The following is a 12,234-nucleotide window of genomic DNA, read 5'->3' on the forward strand; positions in this document are numbered from 1 at the left end:
GGAGATGATTCACATGGGGTGAACCTGTTTTCATTCTAAGATTGAAAAACAAAAATCAAAAAACTCAGAATGAAGTTTGTTTTTCAATCACCTATTAAATGGAAAATGGTAATTTTCTGAAAAAGCATCTCATTATGGGGGACTTGGGGGAATGGAGAGATGTAGGGCAAAGGACCCAAAGCCGCAGATATGTGGGGTGAGAAGTCTAGAGATCCGAGGCCCAGCATGAGCCCTATAGTGGCAACATTGTATTAGATCCAGGAAATGTGCACAGAGTAGATTTTCCATGCTCCTATCACACAGGCCCTCTCCCCGCCACCCCACACACAGAGGGTAACTGTGGGAGGGGATGGATATGAGAATTTGCTTGATAATCATAACTATCTCACTGTGCATAAGTATATCAAAATATCATGTTGTACACTTTAAATATAATAAAAAGCATCTTATTACACAACATAAGTCACAGGGAATGAAAACTGTGGGAACCTAAAGTACCCCAGCCATTGTGACATTTCGGGGGAGCTGTACCCACAGAAGGAGAAGGTGTGCCTGTCTGAGCCCCTCACAGGCCCGCACCTGCTTCTGGAAACGCCACTGCTGATTCCCATCAGTCATGGTGTTTACAGCTCCAGGCAGGATCATCACTGGAGCTGACTTGCTAATTTCTGAAAAGCCAGTATTTCTTTTCTGGAGGATGTTCATATGCCAATCTCAGGATTTCCTGTGCATGAAGAAATGAGGACACAGTGTGGAAGCGTGCTTGCCTGAAGCTTTGTTTTGTTTTTTCATCCTGGCTCCAACCCCAGGCGGCCCTCCTCTCGTCGGGAGAGGAACACTGGCCGAGTCACAGCCAGTCGTGCTGACTGGATACAGGTGCGTAGGGAGGGCTCCAGGTGGGGACTGTCCCATGTGTAGGAGAGGAATCCAGGGACAGGGAGAGGCCGAGTGGGCAGCAGAGGGACAGGCCAGTCGGACGCAAAGCAGGAAGTGGAGCTTCCTCTTCCCATTGTCATCTGGATCCTCCCGCTCCGTGTGGGGATCCTCACAGTCACACCTCTTTGAGCCAGCTGGTGGCCAGCCTGCGCACAGGAGGGACCTCCTGGGGTCCCCAAGGGAAGCCACACACACAAGGCCCCAACTCAGCTGCTCTCCCAGACTCTCTCCCCACTTTCTTGGCGGGTGCAAAGGGATGGAAAAAAATCTGAATAACTAATCCTAAGTAGTACAAGTTATGCCATTTCCCCCAGAGAAACCTCTTTCCTCTAAACTCTGAAGGCACTTAGAGCCCATACCAGTTAGTGCTAAATTATTTTCCCTTTTGGCCCGTTTACTATTGGTTCTTCACTAATTTGGTCTCTCCAACTCAAGTCCAACTTCCTAGAGGGCAGAGGATGGCATGATTTTAGTACCATATCTCCCCACCACCCCTATATCTAGTACAGCTTAAATACATGAAGTATATAATTTAATTAAAACAGGCTGAAAATACATATATCATGACATCCTATCCCAAATATATAATGTTCGTCAATATGAGCAGGTATAATAGAGAACCTTGGCGTGGATAGGCTTGTTTTGAAAAGCAGCAAAACCTCAAGCAGAAGCTGCTACTAGCACATGTGGGCTGAGGAAGTCTCCCGGCTGCAGCCTGGCCTCTATGGCCAACCCTCTAGGAGCCATTTGCACTGGGTGGGATCAGGGTACATTGCTCAGAACATTGTGGGTGATGGCCCTGGGACCGAACGTGTCTCAGGAGAAATCCAATTCCTGATTCTACAGGTAAGTGCCTCCAGATGCCTGCATCACAGTTACCCAGGGCCTACCCACCTCAAGGCAGAGTCGGGTATCCAGATGACTAGAGGCAGCAAAGGACACGATTCTGGAGTTAGGGTTGGGGAATGGCCCCATTTTCCTTCTTTGGTAGAAGTCAACACTCCAGGACACCTGAATGGCACCAGAGGCTGCCACAAGGGCCATAGCAGTGACAGCTGAGACTAGTCCCTGGCAGAAGCCAAGAACTCTGCAGGATCAGAGAGGTGCCAGAGAACCTGACCATGGAAATGTTTTTGTCCTGCTTGTAGTAATAAACCGTCTTCCACCCTTGATACCAAAAGGAATAAGCAGCAATCTTGGGCTCAATGGCTCACACCTGTAATCCCAGTATTTCTGGGGCAGAGGTGAGCGGATCGCTTGAGCCCAGGAGTTGGAGGCCCGCCTGGGCAACATGGTGAAATCCCTTCTGTACCAAAAAAAACCACAAAAATTAGCTGTGCCTGTAGTCCCAGCTACTCAGGAGGCTGAGGTGGGAGAATGGCTTGAGCCCAGGAGGCGGAAGTTGCAGTGAGCTGTAATCACACTGCACTCCATCCTGGGCAACAGAGCAAGACCGTCTTAAGAAAAAAAAAAAAGCGGCAATCTTCTCCAAGGATCAAGGGAGGGTGCCATCAGTTAGTACTTTCTAAAGCTGTGTCACCATCTCTTTTTAGCCCACTTCCCCTCCCCGCTCCCCATCCCTCAGTCAAGTCCCTAGGATCTGAGTTTGCTTTTGGAGCTTGAACTGGCCTTGAGCTCAGAGACATCTCTCTGCGGACCCTGCTTCTCTATTCTACATCTGTCCCAATAGTTGGAGCAGGGGCTGGAACAGCTTAAGGTGAGCAGCAGCCACCTGTTCCCAAAAAACCCTTAGCTTGGATTATCAGCAGACAGTGGAACATCAGTTTCGTACACATTTTGTATTTCTCACCCCATCTGCAAACCTTTCCTTTGAAGAGTATTCCAAGAATGGAACCCAGAGCTCCCCAGAAGCACACTGTTGCTTGGGTTTGGACTAGAATTTAATGTTCCCTCCAACTCTAGAGAATCCATGATGTGTATCTTTACACCAGATGCCACTAGGAGTCTTCCTGTCCCTTATCATTTTAGTTAAGAAGTGACTCATTGCTGTCATCCTTGCTTCACAGAGGGAGGAACCCAGGCTTCAGATTCTGCCCTTTTGGAACGGAAGAAGGAGGGAGAGCGGGGAAAGACCTATGTGTGCAGCACTATGGAGACAGTTCACTATGTCGGGTACAACACATTCCCTTAGTCTCATTTGAAAGCCATGATGAACAGAGAGGTGTGGAAAATCTAAGATCACAAATATGCCATGAGAAAGTATCTTTGTCTCTACTGCTACTTTACAAAACCACGTCTCTAACTGCTAACACTTCAAATTCCCTCAAAATAAGCTTCTTTTCCCAATTGTCCCTCACCACCAACTATAGTCATGCTCTGAAATTATTATGGAAATTTAGCATCTGAAAGGAACAGGAAGTTATAATTAATTCCTAATTAGAATTGGGCACAAGCTTTTTTTTCTTATTTTTTTTTTAATTTTTTTATTGTGACAGAGTCTCGCTCTGTCGCCCAGGCTGGAGTGCAGTGGCGCGATCTCCACTCACTGAAAGCTCCACCGTCTCCCGGGTTCATGCCATTCTCCTGCCTCAGCCTCCCGAGCAGCTGGGACTACAGGCGCCCACCACCATGCCCGGCTAATTGTTTTGTATTTTTAGTAGAGATGGGGTTTCACCGTGTTAGCCAGGATGGTCTCGATCTCCTGACTTCGTGATCCGCCCGCCTCGGCCTCCCAAAGCGTTGGGATTACAGGCGTGAGCCACCGCGCCCGGCCGGGCACAAGCTTATTGTTTTTCTTCTACCTTTTCTAAATGTACCCAATGCTCTTCATGTTTTCTGCCAGATGTTCTAGTCACTGCATGATGGGATTGTTACTTTTGCTGCTTCTCTGGACTCCTCACTCTTAGTCATTTTAAATATGGTCAAAATGACAATCTTTCTTACCATATTTGATATATAACTTTCAAAAAGAATAAAACTTAGCACCCTCCTATTAGTCCTTATCTAAATGGAAACTTATTAGCAGAGCATCAAGGGCCCAATAAAGTGCCCCCTCTTTTGAAACTTATCTCTACTCCCTTTCATATATTTCAATCATGTCAATTTCTTATTGTTCTTCTAAATAGGTGCTGATTACTAAACTCTATTCGTGGGTTTTATTTTTTATGTTCCTCTCCATTAATTAATATTCTTCACTGACTTTAAGACTTCACGATTCATTCTTTTAAAAGAACGTGTTTGATTTCCTCCACTGTTAACTGCTAAATATCTCTCTGATATATTGTTTTCAGGCTATCTTTCTCATCTGGAGTAATTATGTTTCAAGTGTCAGGGGGAAAATACCTTTTCTATCCTGTGCAAAAACTCATGCTGGGCACTAAGAGCATGGAGCATGTCCCAGTTATCTATTGCTGCATAACAAACCAACCCAAACTTAGCAGTATAAAACAACCACTGCTTTAGTATGCACATCAACTTTCAGGGTCAGAAATTCTTTTCTCCTTCATGTATAGAGTCTCAGCTGGGAGTGACATAAATAGGTGGAGACAGACCTCTCCAGCCCAGTCCAGCCAACAGCCTCCGCTCCTGCGCACCCGCAGCCTGGGGCCCCAGGTTCCTGTGGTCTCACCGACCCTAATCCTCTCATCTCTCCTCCCCATTCCCTCTCCAAATTGTTTCAGAATTCCAAATTCTTATCTGGATCCGGCAAATTAATTCAGCTACTCTTCAGAGTCTCTCAGTTATTCCCAAATTCTCTCGGAAGCTTGAATTTACCTATCTAAATCCATTCTCAAAAACACATTGGCCTTTTCTAGCCGGGACATCTCCAACAGTAGTTGCTGTTAGAAACTGCAATTTCCCCTTCTCTGCATACACATTTTTATAAATTGATTTATTGGTAGGCAAATTACATTTTTAAAAAAAGGCATGTGTGGGTTTTCAGGGAAGCCTGGACAGGACGTGGGCGTGCCGGGAGCTCGCCGGAGCAGCTGGTCCGGCTCTGGGCGCCCAGCGGAACCAGGGCTGTACTCACCTGGATGCCGGACCCGCCCCCTAGAGACCCCGCCCCCTGGCGTTCGGCTACTAAAGGGAAGGGGATTCCCAGGGGGTCCTCAATCCTGGACTCTCCCGACCCCTAGCTGTCGGTCCCCCTCCCTGCGCGCGCGCCGGCGGGTTTCCTACCCTCCGAGGCGTCCGCTGGCCTGCGCCCTGGCGGGGACGTGGGCGGGGCGGGCGGCATTTAAGGCTGGTGCCACCTCCCCGGTGCAGCGGCTGGCGATCGGCCGCGGAGGTGCGTGCAGGGCCCGCGCCGCCGCCGGTATCTCCACCGCCAACACCTCAGCCACTGCCACTGCCACAGCCACACGAGGCCCCCCACCGTGCGCTCCGCCGCTGCGGTCCCGGATCCGCGCTCCACGCCCGCAGCCCGCGGCGCCACCAGCCCAGCATGCACCAGGTGCGTGCAGCCCCCGCGCCGGCCGAGGATGCGAGACGCTGGGCCAAGGCCCCGGGGACCGGAGCAGGCTGACGGGAAGCGAGGAAAAGGCGAAGAGGAGAAACGCCCCGTCCCGGGGCAAGGGGAGGCCGCCTTTCCTCTGAGCGCCCCCCGGCCTGGGCACCGCTTCTCTGACTCCCCGCCACGGCTCCGTGCGGCCGCCGGGGCTGGCTGGGGAAAGAAGCCAGTCCAGAGGAGCGAGAAGGGGCCAAGGGGTCCTAGGCCAGCTCCATGGCACCTGCGGGCTCCGACTCGGAGGATGGGGTGACATGGATTCGTTGCGGTCTGAAAAGACTTCCGGTTAGGGCCCCCTGATCAGGACTGAGGGTCGTAAGCTTAGTGGGTGCCTCCTCCCCAAGAAACAGGACGCACAGCTGTTGTGTCCCCTGGGAAGGACACCTCAGAGGAAACCTCGAGGTGCCTAAGGAACCTCGAGGTTCTAAGGAAACCTCACAGCTCCTTGGAGGCATCAGTCAGGAGTTGGGGGGGTAACTTCCCACCTGCTCCACCCAGAGAAGGGTCACCCTGAGGAGCTGCTGGCTGGCCTGTGCCCACCCCGCCTCCCCTCTACACGGACGGAGAGGAAGCCAAGGTCGGCGGGAGGTGGGGGAGAGACTCCACTGTCCGACTCCCTCCGGCCTCCCCAGAGGAGGGAAGGAAAGGGAGAAGGGGCTCCTGACTCCTGCAGGTCCTGACCCCGCAGAGGGGCGCTCAGCACCTCTTCGGAAACCCCATTTGGGGCCAATATTGCACCTGGGCTTCTCTTTCAGAAAACCCCAGAAATTTACTCCGTGGAGCTCAGCGGAACTAAGGACATCGTGAAAACAGACAAGGGGGATGGCAAGGAGAAGTATAGGGGTCTGAAGAACAACTGCCTGGAACTCAAAAAGAAAAATCACAAAGAGGAGTTTCAGAAAGAACTCCATCTGGTCAGTAGCCTTAAGCCACGGGGTCCTGCCGGCTATGGCCCTTCCCCGCAAGAGCTTGCCCCTAGAACCCACCTCTTACCACAGACATTCAGTCTGAGGGATTTGAAATCCCCTTGAGATTGTGTGTGGTGTGTGGTGTCTGCGTGGTGTGTCTGTGTGGTGTGTGTGTGTGGTGTATGTGTGGTGTGTGTGTATGTGTGGTGTGTCTGTGTAGTGTGTGGTGTGTGTGTGTATGTGTGGTGTGTGGTGTATGGTGTGTGGTGTGTGTGTATGGTGTGTGGTGTGTGTATATGGTGTGTGTAGTGTGTGGTGTGTGTATGTGTGTGGTGTGTGTGTATGGTGTGTGTGTATGGTGTGTGTATGTGTGGTGTGTGTGATGTGTGTGTGATGTGTGTGTGGTGTGTGTGTGTGGTGTGTATATGTGTGTGGTGTGTGTGTGGTGTGTGTATGTGTGTGGTGTGTGTATGTGTGTGGTATATATGTGTGTGGTGTGTGTGGTGTGTGTATGTGCATGGTATGTGTGGTGTGTGTGTAGCGTGTGGTGTGTGTGTAGTGTGTGGTGTGTATGTGTGGTGTGTGTATGTGCATGGTATGTGTGGTGTGTGTGTAGCGTGTGGTGTGTGTGTAGTGTGTGGTGTATATGTGTGGTGTGTGGTGTGTGTGTGGTGTGTGGTGTGTGTATGTGTGTGTGTGTGTTTTGAATGGTGTGATAGTATCCACCCAGAGGTCAGGGCCTCTGCAGGATTCCTGCATTCTGGTTGGAGGCAGTCCCTGTAGAACTCAGAAGGAAGAGCCTCTGATTCCAGGCCCCACAGGCATGGCCAGACCTCTCTCCCCGCAGCTGCTTCAGTGAGAGTTAAGTAACCACTTGCCAGTTTTCAATTGATTAGTAAAACTATTTGAGCTGGAACTTCTGAGGAGGAAAACCAAAGCCCCTAGGCCATGCTAGATTGCAGGTGTGAAACCTCATGGAAAAGCAGTTTCAGTGGTAAAAATGTGGAGCTTGGATTGGGAGGACCTCGGGCCCCATCAGAGTCCCACTTCTCCACTGAGCTGAAACTGGCAACAAATGACTGACCCTCACTGAAGGTCCATTTCCTTTATGTAAAATGGGAAATAAATAATTTGCTGGGGTCTATGAGGGGAAAAAATGAGATGAGGATTTTGTAATTCACGTGCTTTAGGGGAGTACAATATTATTATTATTAAGGAAGAGCTCTGGAGTTATTAAAACTAGCCTTTTTTTTTTTTTTGAGACAGAGTTTCGCTCTTGTTGCCCAGGCTGGAGTGCAATGGCGCTATCTAGGCTCACTGCAACCTCCACCTCCTGGGTTCAAGCGATTCTCTTGCCTCGGCCTCCCGAGTCACTGGGATTACAGGCGCCCGCCATCACACCCAGCTAATTTTTGTTGTTTTTAGTAGAGACGGGGTTTCCCCATGTTGGCCAGGCTGCTCTCGAACTCCTGACCTCAGATGATCCACCCGCCTCAGCTTCCCAAAGTGCTGGGATTACAGGCGTGAGCCACTGTGTCCAGCCCAAACTGGCCACTTTAATAATAAAACTGCCTTGGGTCTGAAATGTGACAGATTTTATCTTGGGAACACCGAAGGGGAAACTTCTACACGGAGCTTGAGATGGGCTGGATTGTCCCCACCGTCCTTGGCAGATCTTAAAGCTCTGTGACTCCTGAGGGGAGTCTCTTTTGTGCTAGAGAGCCATTTGTTAAGTATTCAGAAACTTGGCAGGCTGACTGACATCCTGTTAGCAGCTTCAAACTTGGTTCTAGTGAGAAATCAGCAAACTCTACAAATCCGAGCTTTGTATTGATCGTTCCTGGAGAGTTTGTTAAACATTTAACAGTATACCACTGGGCATTTGTCCGTATCTATCATGAGAGACATTTAAGAACGCTTCCCTGAAACTGGACTGACCTCAATTCAAATCCCAGTGTAACTGAAGTTCAGTTTCCTATTTTGAAAAACATAAGATTTTTTTTTCTACCTCTTAAGGGTTACTAGGAAGATTAAATGAGATAAAACAGGGAAAAGACAGCACAGCACCAGACGATAGATCGTTCTTATTATTTCCCATTATCTCTAGCATTTAAGATTGAAGACATATCTGTTTTTCCCTTGACATTACAAGGGTCCTGTAATTTTCAGCAGCATATTGAATGCTTTTGCCTCCCAACCTTTCTTGGCAAATTAGTGCCTAATGACAACTGAAGTATCCCGGCCTTTGAATGAAAGGGCCAGGCAGTGACCCGAGGGGTGGGTGGGGTGCTGCCCTGTGCTAGTCCAGTGCTGGCCAGCAGAGGGCACCCCAGATAACCACCACCACCTCGTCCCACCCCTCCCCCATGCTCTCATCCCCCAGCCCAGGAAGTCTGAGGTCCCATGCATGCAAACAATGGCTCGGATCATCCACTACTTGTATCTGCCCAAAACTTAGTGGGTTGTGCTGTGCTCTGTGCAGAACACAGCCTTAATCTTCTGAATCCCCAGCAATATCACACTCAATCAGTATTAGTAGAAGGGATGAAGGAGCAAAACAGAATCTGGCTGAGAAGAGGGCTAGAAGCAAGATAATAATGATAATAATGAATTCTGCTTTATTGGAAGGCCTAGTCTCTTACTGCAACATGGAACTATTTTTTGCATATACTTAAGAAAAGAGATGATGTGAGCACCAGTCAACAGTATCAATCTTTGTTTCAGACAATCAGGGTTTAAAAAATCCTGAGTGCTGGACTTTCTAGGGGGAGTGAGGAAGACTTACCCTAGGTTTTCTGCTACAGGAAGAGACTTCTTGTCCTTTAGCCCAGTGGTTCTCAAAGGGAGAGGAGAAGAGGATTCCCCCACCCCTCTCCCAGGGGAAAAATGGAAACATTTTTGGTTACCACAACTGAGGGGAGGATGTTAGTGGGTGGAGCCCACAACAAAGAATTATTCTCCCAGAATGGCAGCAGGGCCACGGGTGAGAAACCCTGCTGTAGTCTAATGATTCTGTAGCAGAATTCACAAGTGGCAGCCACAATGCTGTGGGTTTATTCAGCAGAACTTTTCCCTGCAGGGTTTCTCTGCCCAGTGAGCTCCCTGAGCGTCACAGCTTGAGTGAGGGAAGCTGCTTTTCCCTGCCAGAGCCCACACAGCGAAGGAGGAGGAGTTGTGCCAGCCCAGGAAGCGGTTCTAGTGTGGTTTTGCCATCAGCCCCAGCCAATCCCAGGGTTCAGGCCTGAGGGAAGCCTCCAGCTCACTGGCACCTGGAAGATGAGGGTGCCAGAACCTGTATGCCCTGGAGTTCAGATTGAAGCGAGGTGCATGGCTTTGTTCAGAAAAGCTGCAGGCAGCTTCTGGGTAGTAACAGCAAGTGCAGGATTGTGCCGACTCAGGGACAGTCACTCCTGAGGCAGTGCCATCCTTCGCTGGGCAGCTGCCTGGCACAGGGGTTCTTTCTCTCCTGTCCCCCACACTCCTCGATCCCCTCCCATCCTCAGGGCTGCTACTCCCAGCTTCCATGGCTGGTCAAAGCTTGGGGCTTGAGTCTTTTGGAATTATCTAATTCACTCTGTTCTTCCTTTCATGGACTTCAGGATGACCACAAACTCAGCAATAGGGAATTGGAAGAGAAATATGGCACAGACATCATTATGGTGAGTCGTGGGAACCAGGGATTTGGAAGAGAAGCCTCCCAACTCTACAGAGGGAAGGCTGTGTGTGGCGGGGGGCTGTGTGGAAGAGTAGCGGCACCTTTAGGAGGAGGGGCCCCTGCAGCGCCTTTGAGACTGCAGTTATTTGCATCTGGACACAGTTCAAGTCAACAGAAAAACCTACTGTGGGGCTCACACTGGCCTGGCAGTGAGAGGGACCAAGAGGGACAGATGACCCCTGGCCTCAAGGAGAAAGTGGCCGGGTAGGGGAGGCAAATGTGTATGGAAGTGTCCTGAGATTCACTCTATCCCCCTGGGATGGCTACAAGAAGTAGAAACGCTATGCTGGGACAAAGGTGGATTCTGATGGAAGGGGCCAGAGCCAGCTCTCGGGCTGCTGCCATGTTTGCGCTGGGACTCAAAATGCTTCGGATTTAAGCTGGTGGGGGACCCCAGGGCCAGTAAGCACAGAGCCTGCTTGGAGAGAATCTGGGCTTGCCGGAAGCTAGTATGTGTGGAGAGGGGACAGGTGCAGCAGGAATGAAGCCAGGAAGGTCATCTGGGTGAAGCTGTCAAAGTATTCACATTAAACTAATGAGTAGGAGCTGTCTTAGAGGCAGAAGGGACATGGTTTCCACACATGGAGGTGCTTTCATTGGTTTTCAAAAGGCAGTTCTCATAGAAGATTCTTTTTTTAAAGTGAGAAATGGAAGGGTCTAGAAGAATGGAACAACAGCCCAGGACTGTGAAATGAGGATCTGAAATAATGTCGAAAGACATTACAGGGGCCAGACGTGGTGGCTCAGGCCTGTAATCCCAGCACTTTGGGAGACTGAGGTGGGCAGATCACCTGAGGTCGGGAGTTTGAGACCAGCCTGACCAACATAGTGAAACCCCGTTTCTACTAAAAATACAAACAATTGGCAGGGCGTGGTGGCACATGCCTGTAATCTCAGCTACTCAGGAGGCTGAGGCAGGAGAATCTCTGAAACCCAGGAGGCAGAGGTTGCGGTGAGCCAAGATCATGCCATTGCACTCCAGCCTGGGCAACAAGAGCAAAACTCCATCTCAAAAAAAAAAAAAAAAAGGGCCGGGCGTGGTGGCTCACGCCTGTAATCCCAGCACTTTAGGAGGCCAAGACGGGCGGATCACGAGGTCAGGAGATCGAGACCATCCTGGCTAACACGGTGAAACCCCGTCTCTACTAAAAATACAAAAATTAGTCGGGCACGGTGGCGGGCGCCTGTAGTCCCAGCTACTCGGGAGGCTGAGGCAGGAGAATGGCGTGAACCTGGGAGGCGGAGCTTGCAGTGAGCGGAGATCGCGCCACTGCCCTCCAGCCTGGGCGACAGAGCGAGACTCTGTCGAAAGAAAAGAAGGAAAGAAAGAAAGAAGGAAGGAAGGAAGGAAAGAAAGAAAGAAATTGCAGAGAGACACAACCAGCAGGACTTGCGGGGATTTTTATTGAGCCCCTCATCTCGCTAGTCATGTCACAGCAGCAGGAGGAGGAGAGCCGGTCGGGTGATGGGCTGGGGTGGGGGCAGGGAGGTGAGAGCAGGGAAGGCAGGAGGGTGGAGGCGATGATGAACTTATTGTGAGTTATACCAGGAGAAGTCTCTCCGGAACACCCCTGAGGAAATGTTCCACAGTTATTCAGAAAGATGAGTCTGGGGTTCTGGAAAAGGAATTGGAGTGGAGGGAGATGGGATCGAGGTGGTGAGCCTGAATCTAGCCATTCAACAGATATTTGAATCACTACCACAGAAAAAGCATGAGACCCGGGAGAGAACACAAAAATGACCAAGACTGGCCTGTCATGGTGGCTTAGGTCTGTAATCATAGCACTTTGGGAGGCCAAGGTGGGCAGATCACTTGAGGTCAGGAGTTCGAAACCAGCCTGGCCAACGTGGTGAAACCCTGTCTCTACTAAAAATATTTTAAAAATTAGCCAAGTGTGGTGGCCGCTGCCTGTAATCCCAGCTATTTGGGAGGCTGAGGCAGGAGAATCGCTTGAACCCAGGAGGAGGAGGTTGCAGTGAGACGAGATCGCACCAGTGCACTCCAGCTTGGGCAACAGAGCGAGACTCTGTCTCAAAAAAAAAAGACCAAGACAGAGTCCTGCCCTTTAAGTAGCTTACAACATAATTAGGGAGAAGAGGTATCTACAGACTTGTCCACCAAAGATCGTCTGTGGGGGAAATTCCTGTGAACATGTAGGGTTTCAAAGGTGAGGGTGCCTCACGGATGGCAGGCCCCCCAGGGC

The 12,234-nt window shown here is 50.3% G+C and overlaps 1 protein-coding gene across 2 annotated transcripts in view, besides 5 other annotated features; it reads left to right on the plus strand.

Moving 5' to 3' along the window:
* The window catches only part of ATP12A (ATPase H+/K+ transporting non-gastric alpha2 subunit), a 32,065-nt gene continuing 24,839 nt past the window's right edge, over positions 5,009–12,234 (plus strand). For both annotated transcript variants that reach the window (NM_001185085.2, NM_001676.7), the window contains exons 1-3: positions 5,009–5,353; positions 6,163–6,321; positions 9,915–9,974. In NM_001185085.2, the coding sequence (NP_001172014.1) occupies positions 5,345–5,353; positions 6,163–6,321; positions 9,915–9,974 (228 nt within the window). In that variant the 5' untranslated portion in view covers positions 5,009–5,344. The remainder of the gene's footprint in view (positions 5,354–6,162; positions 6,322–9,914; positions 9,975–12,234) is intronic.
* Positions 5,057–5,366: a silencer, noted in NCBI's record as "silent region_5179". NCBI's record gives its function as "represses an Ori minimal core promoter by ATAC-STARR-seq in GM12878 lymphoblastoid cells {active_cell/tissue: GM12878}" and the evidence as "EXISTENCE:reporter gene assay evidence [ECO:0000049][PMID:35858748]".
* Positions 6,560–7,140: an enhancer, noted in NCBI's record as "H3K27ac-H3K4me1 hESC enhancer chr13:25256097-25256677 (GRCh37/hg19 assembly coordinates)". NCBI's record gives its function as "activates a minimal SCP1, AML or CMV promoter by ChIP-STARR-seq in naive H9 embryonic stem cells {active_cell/tissue: H9 hESC(naive)}" and the evidence as "EXISTENCE:reporter gene assay evidence [ECO:0000049][PMID:30033119]".
* Positions 7,240–7,741: an enhancer, noted in NCBI's record as "H3K4me1 hESC enhancer chr13:25256777-25257278 (GRCh37/hg19 assembly coordinates)". NCBI's record gives its function as "activates a minimal SCP1, AML or CMV promoter by ChIP-STARR-seq in primed H9 embryonic stem cells {active_cell/tissue: H9 hESC(primed)}" and the evidence as "EXISTENCE:reporter gene assay evidence [ECO:0000049][PMID:30033119]".
* Positions 7,742–8,241: an enhancer, noted in NCBI's record as "H3K4me1 hESC enhancer chr13:25257279-25257778 (GRCh37/hg19 assembly coordinates)". NCBI's record gives its function as "activates a minimal SCP1, AML or CMV promoter by ChIP-STARR-seq in primed H9 embryonic stem cells {active_cell/tissue: H9 hESC(primed)}" and the evidence as "EXISTENCE:reporter gene assay evidence [ECO:0000049][PMID:30033119]".
* Positions 8,657–8,746: a silencer, noted in NCBI's record as "silent region_5180". NCBI's record gives its function as "represses an Ori minimal core promoter by ATAC-STARR-seq in GM12878 lymphoblastoid cells {active_cell/tissue: GM12878}" and the evidence as "EXISTENCE:reporter gene assay evidence [ECO:0000049][PMID:35858748]".

The sequence above is a fragment of the Homo sapiens genome, chromosome 13 (genome assembly GCF_000001405.40).
Source record: "Homo sapiens chromosome 13, GRCh38.p14 Primary Assembly".
NCBI classification, from domain to species: domain Eukaryota; kingdom Metazoa; phylum Chordata; class Mammalia; order Primates; family Hominidae; genus Homo; species Homo sapiens.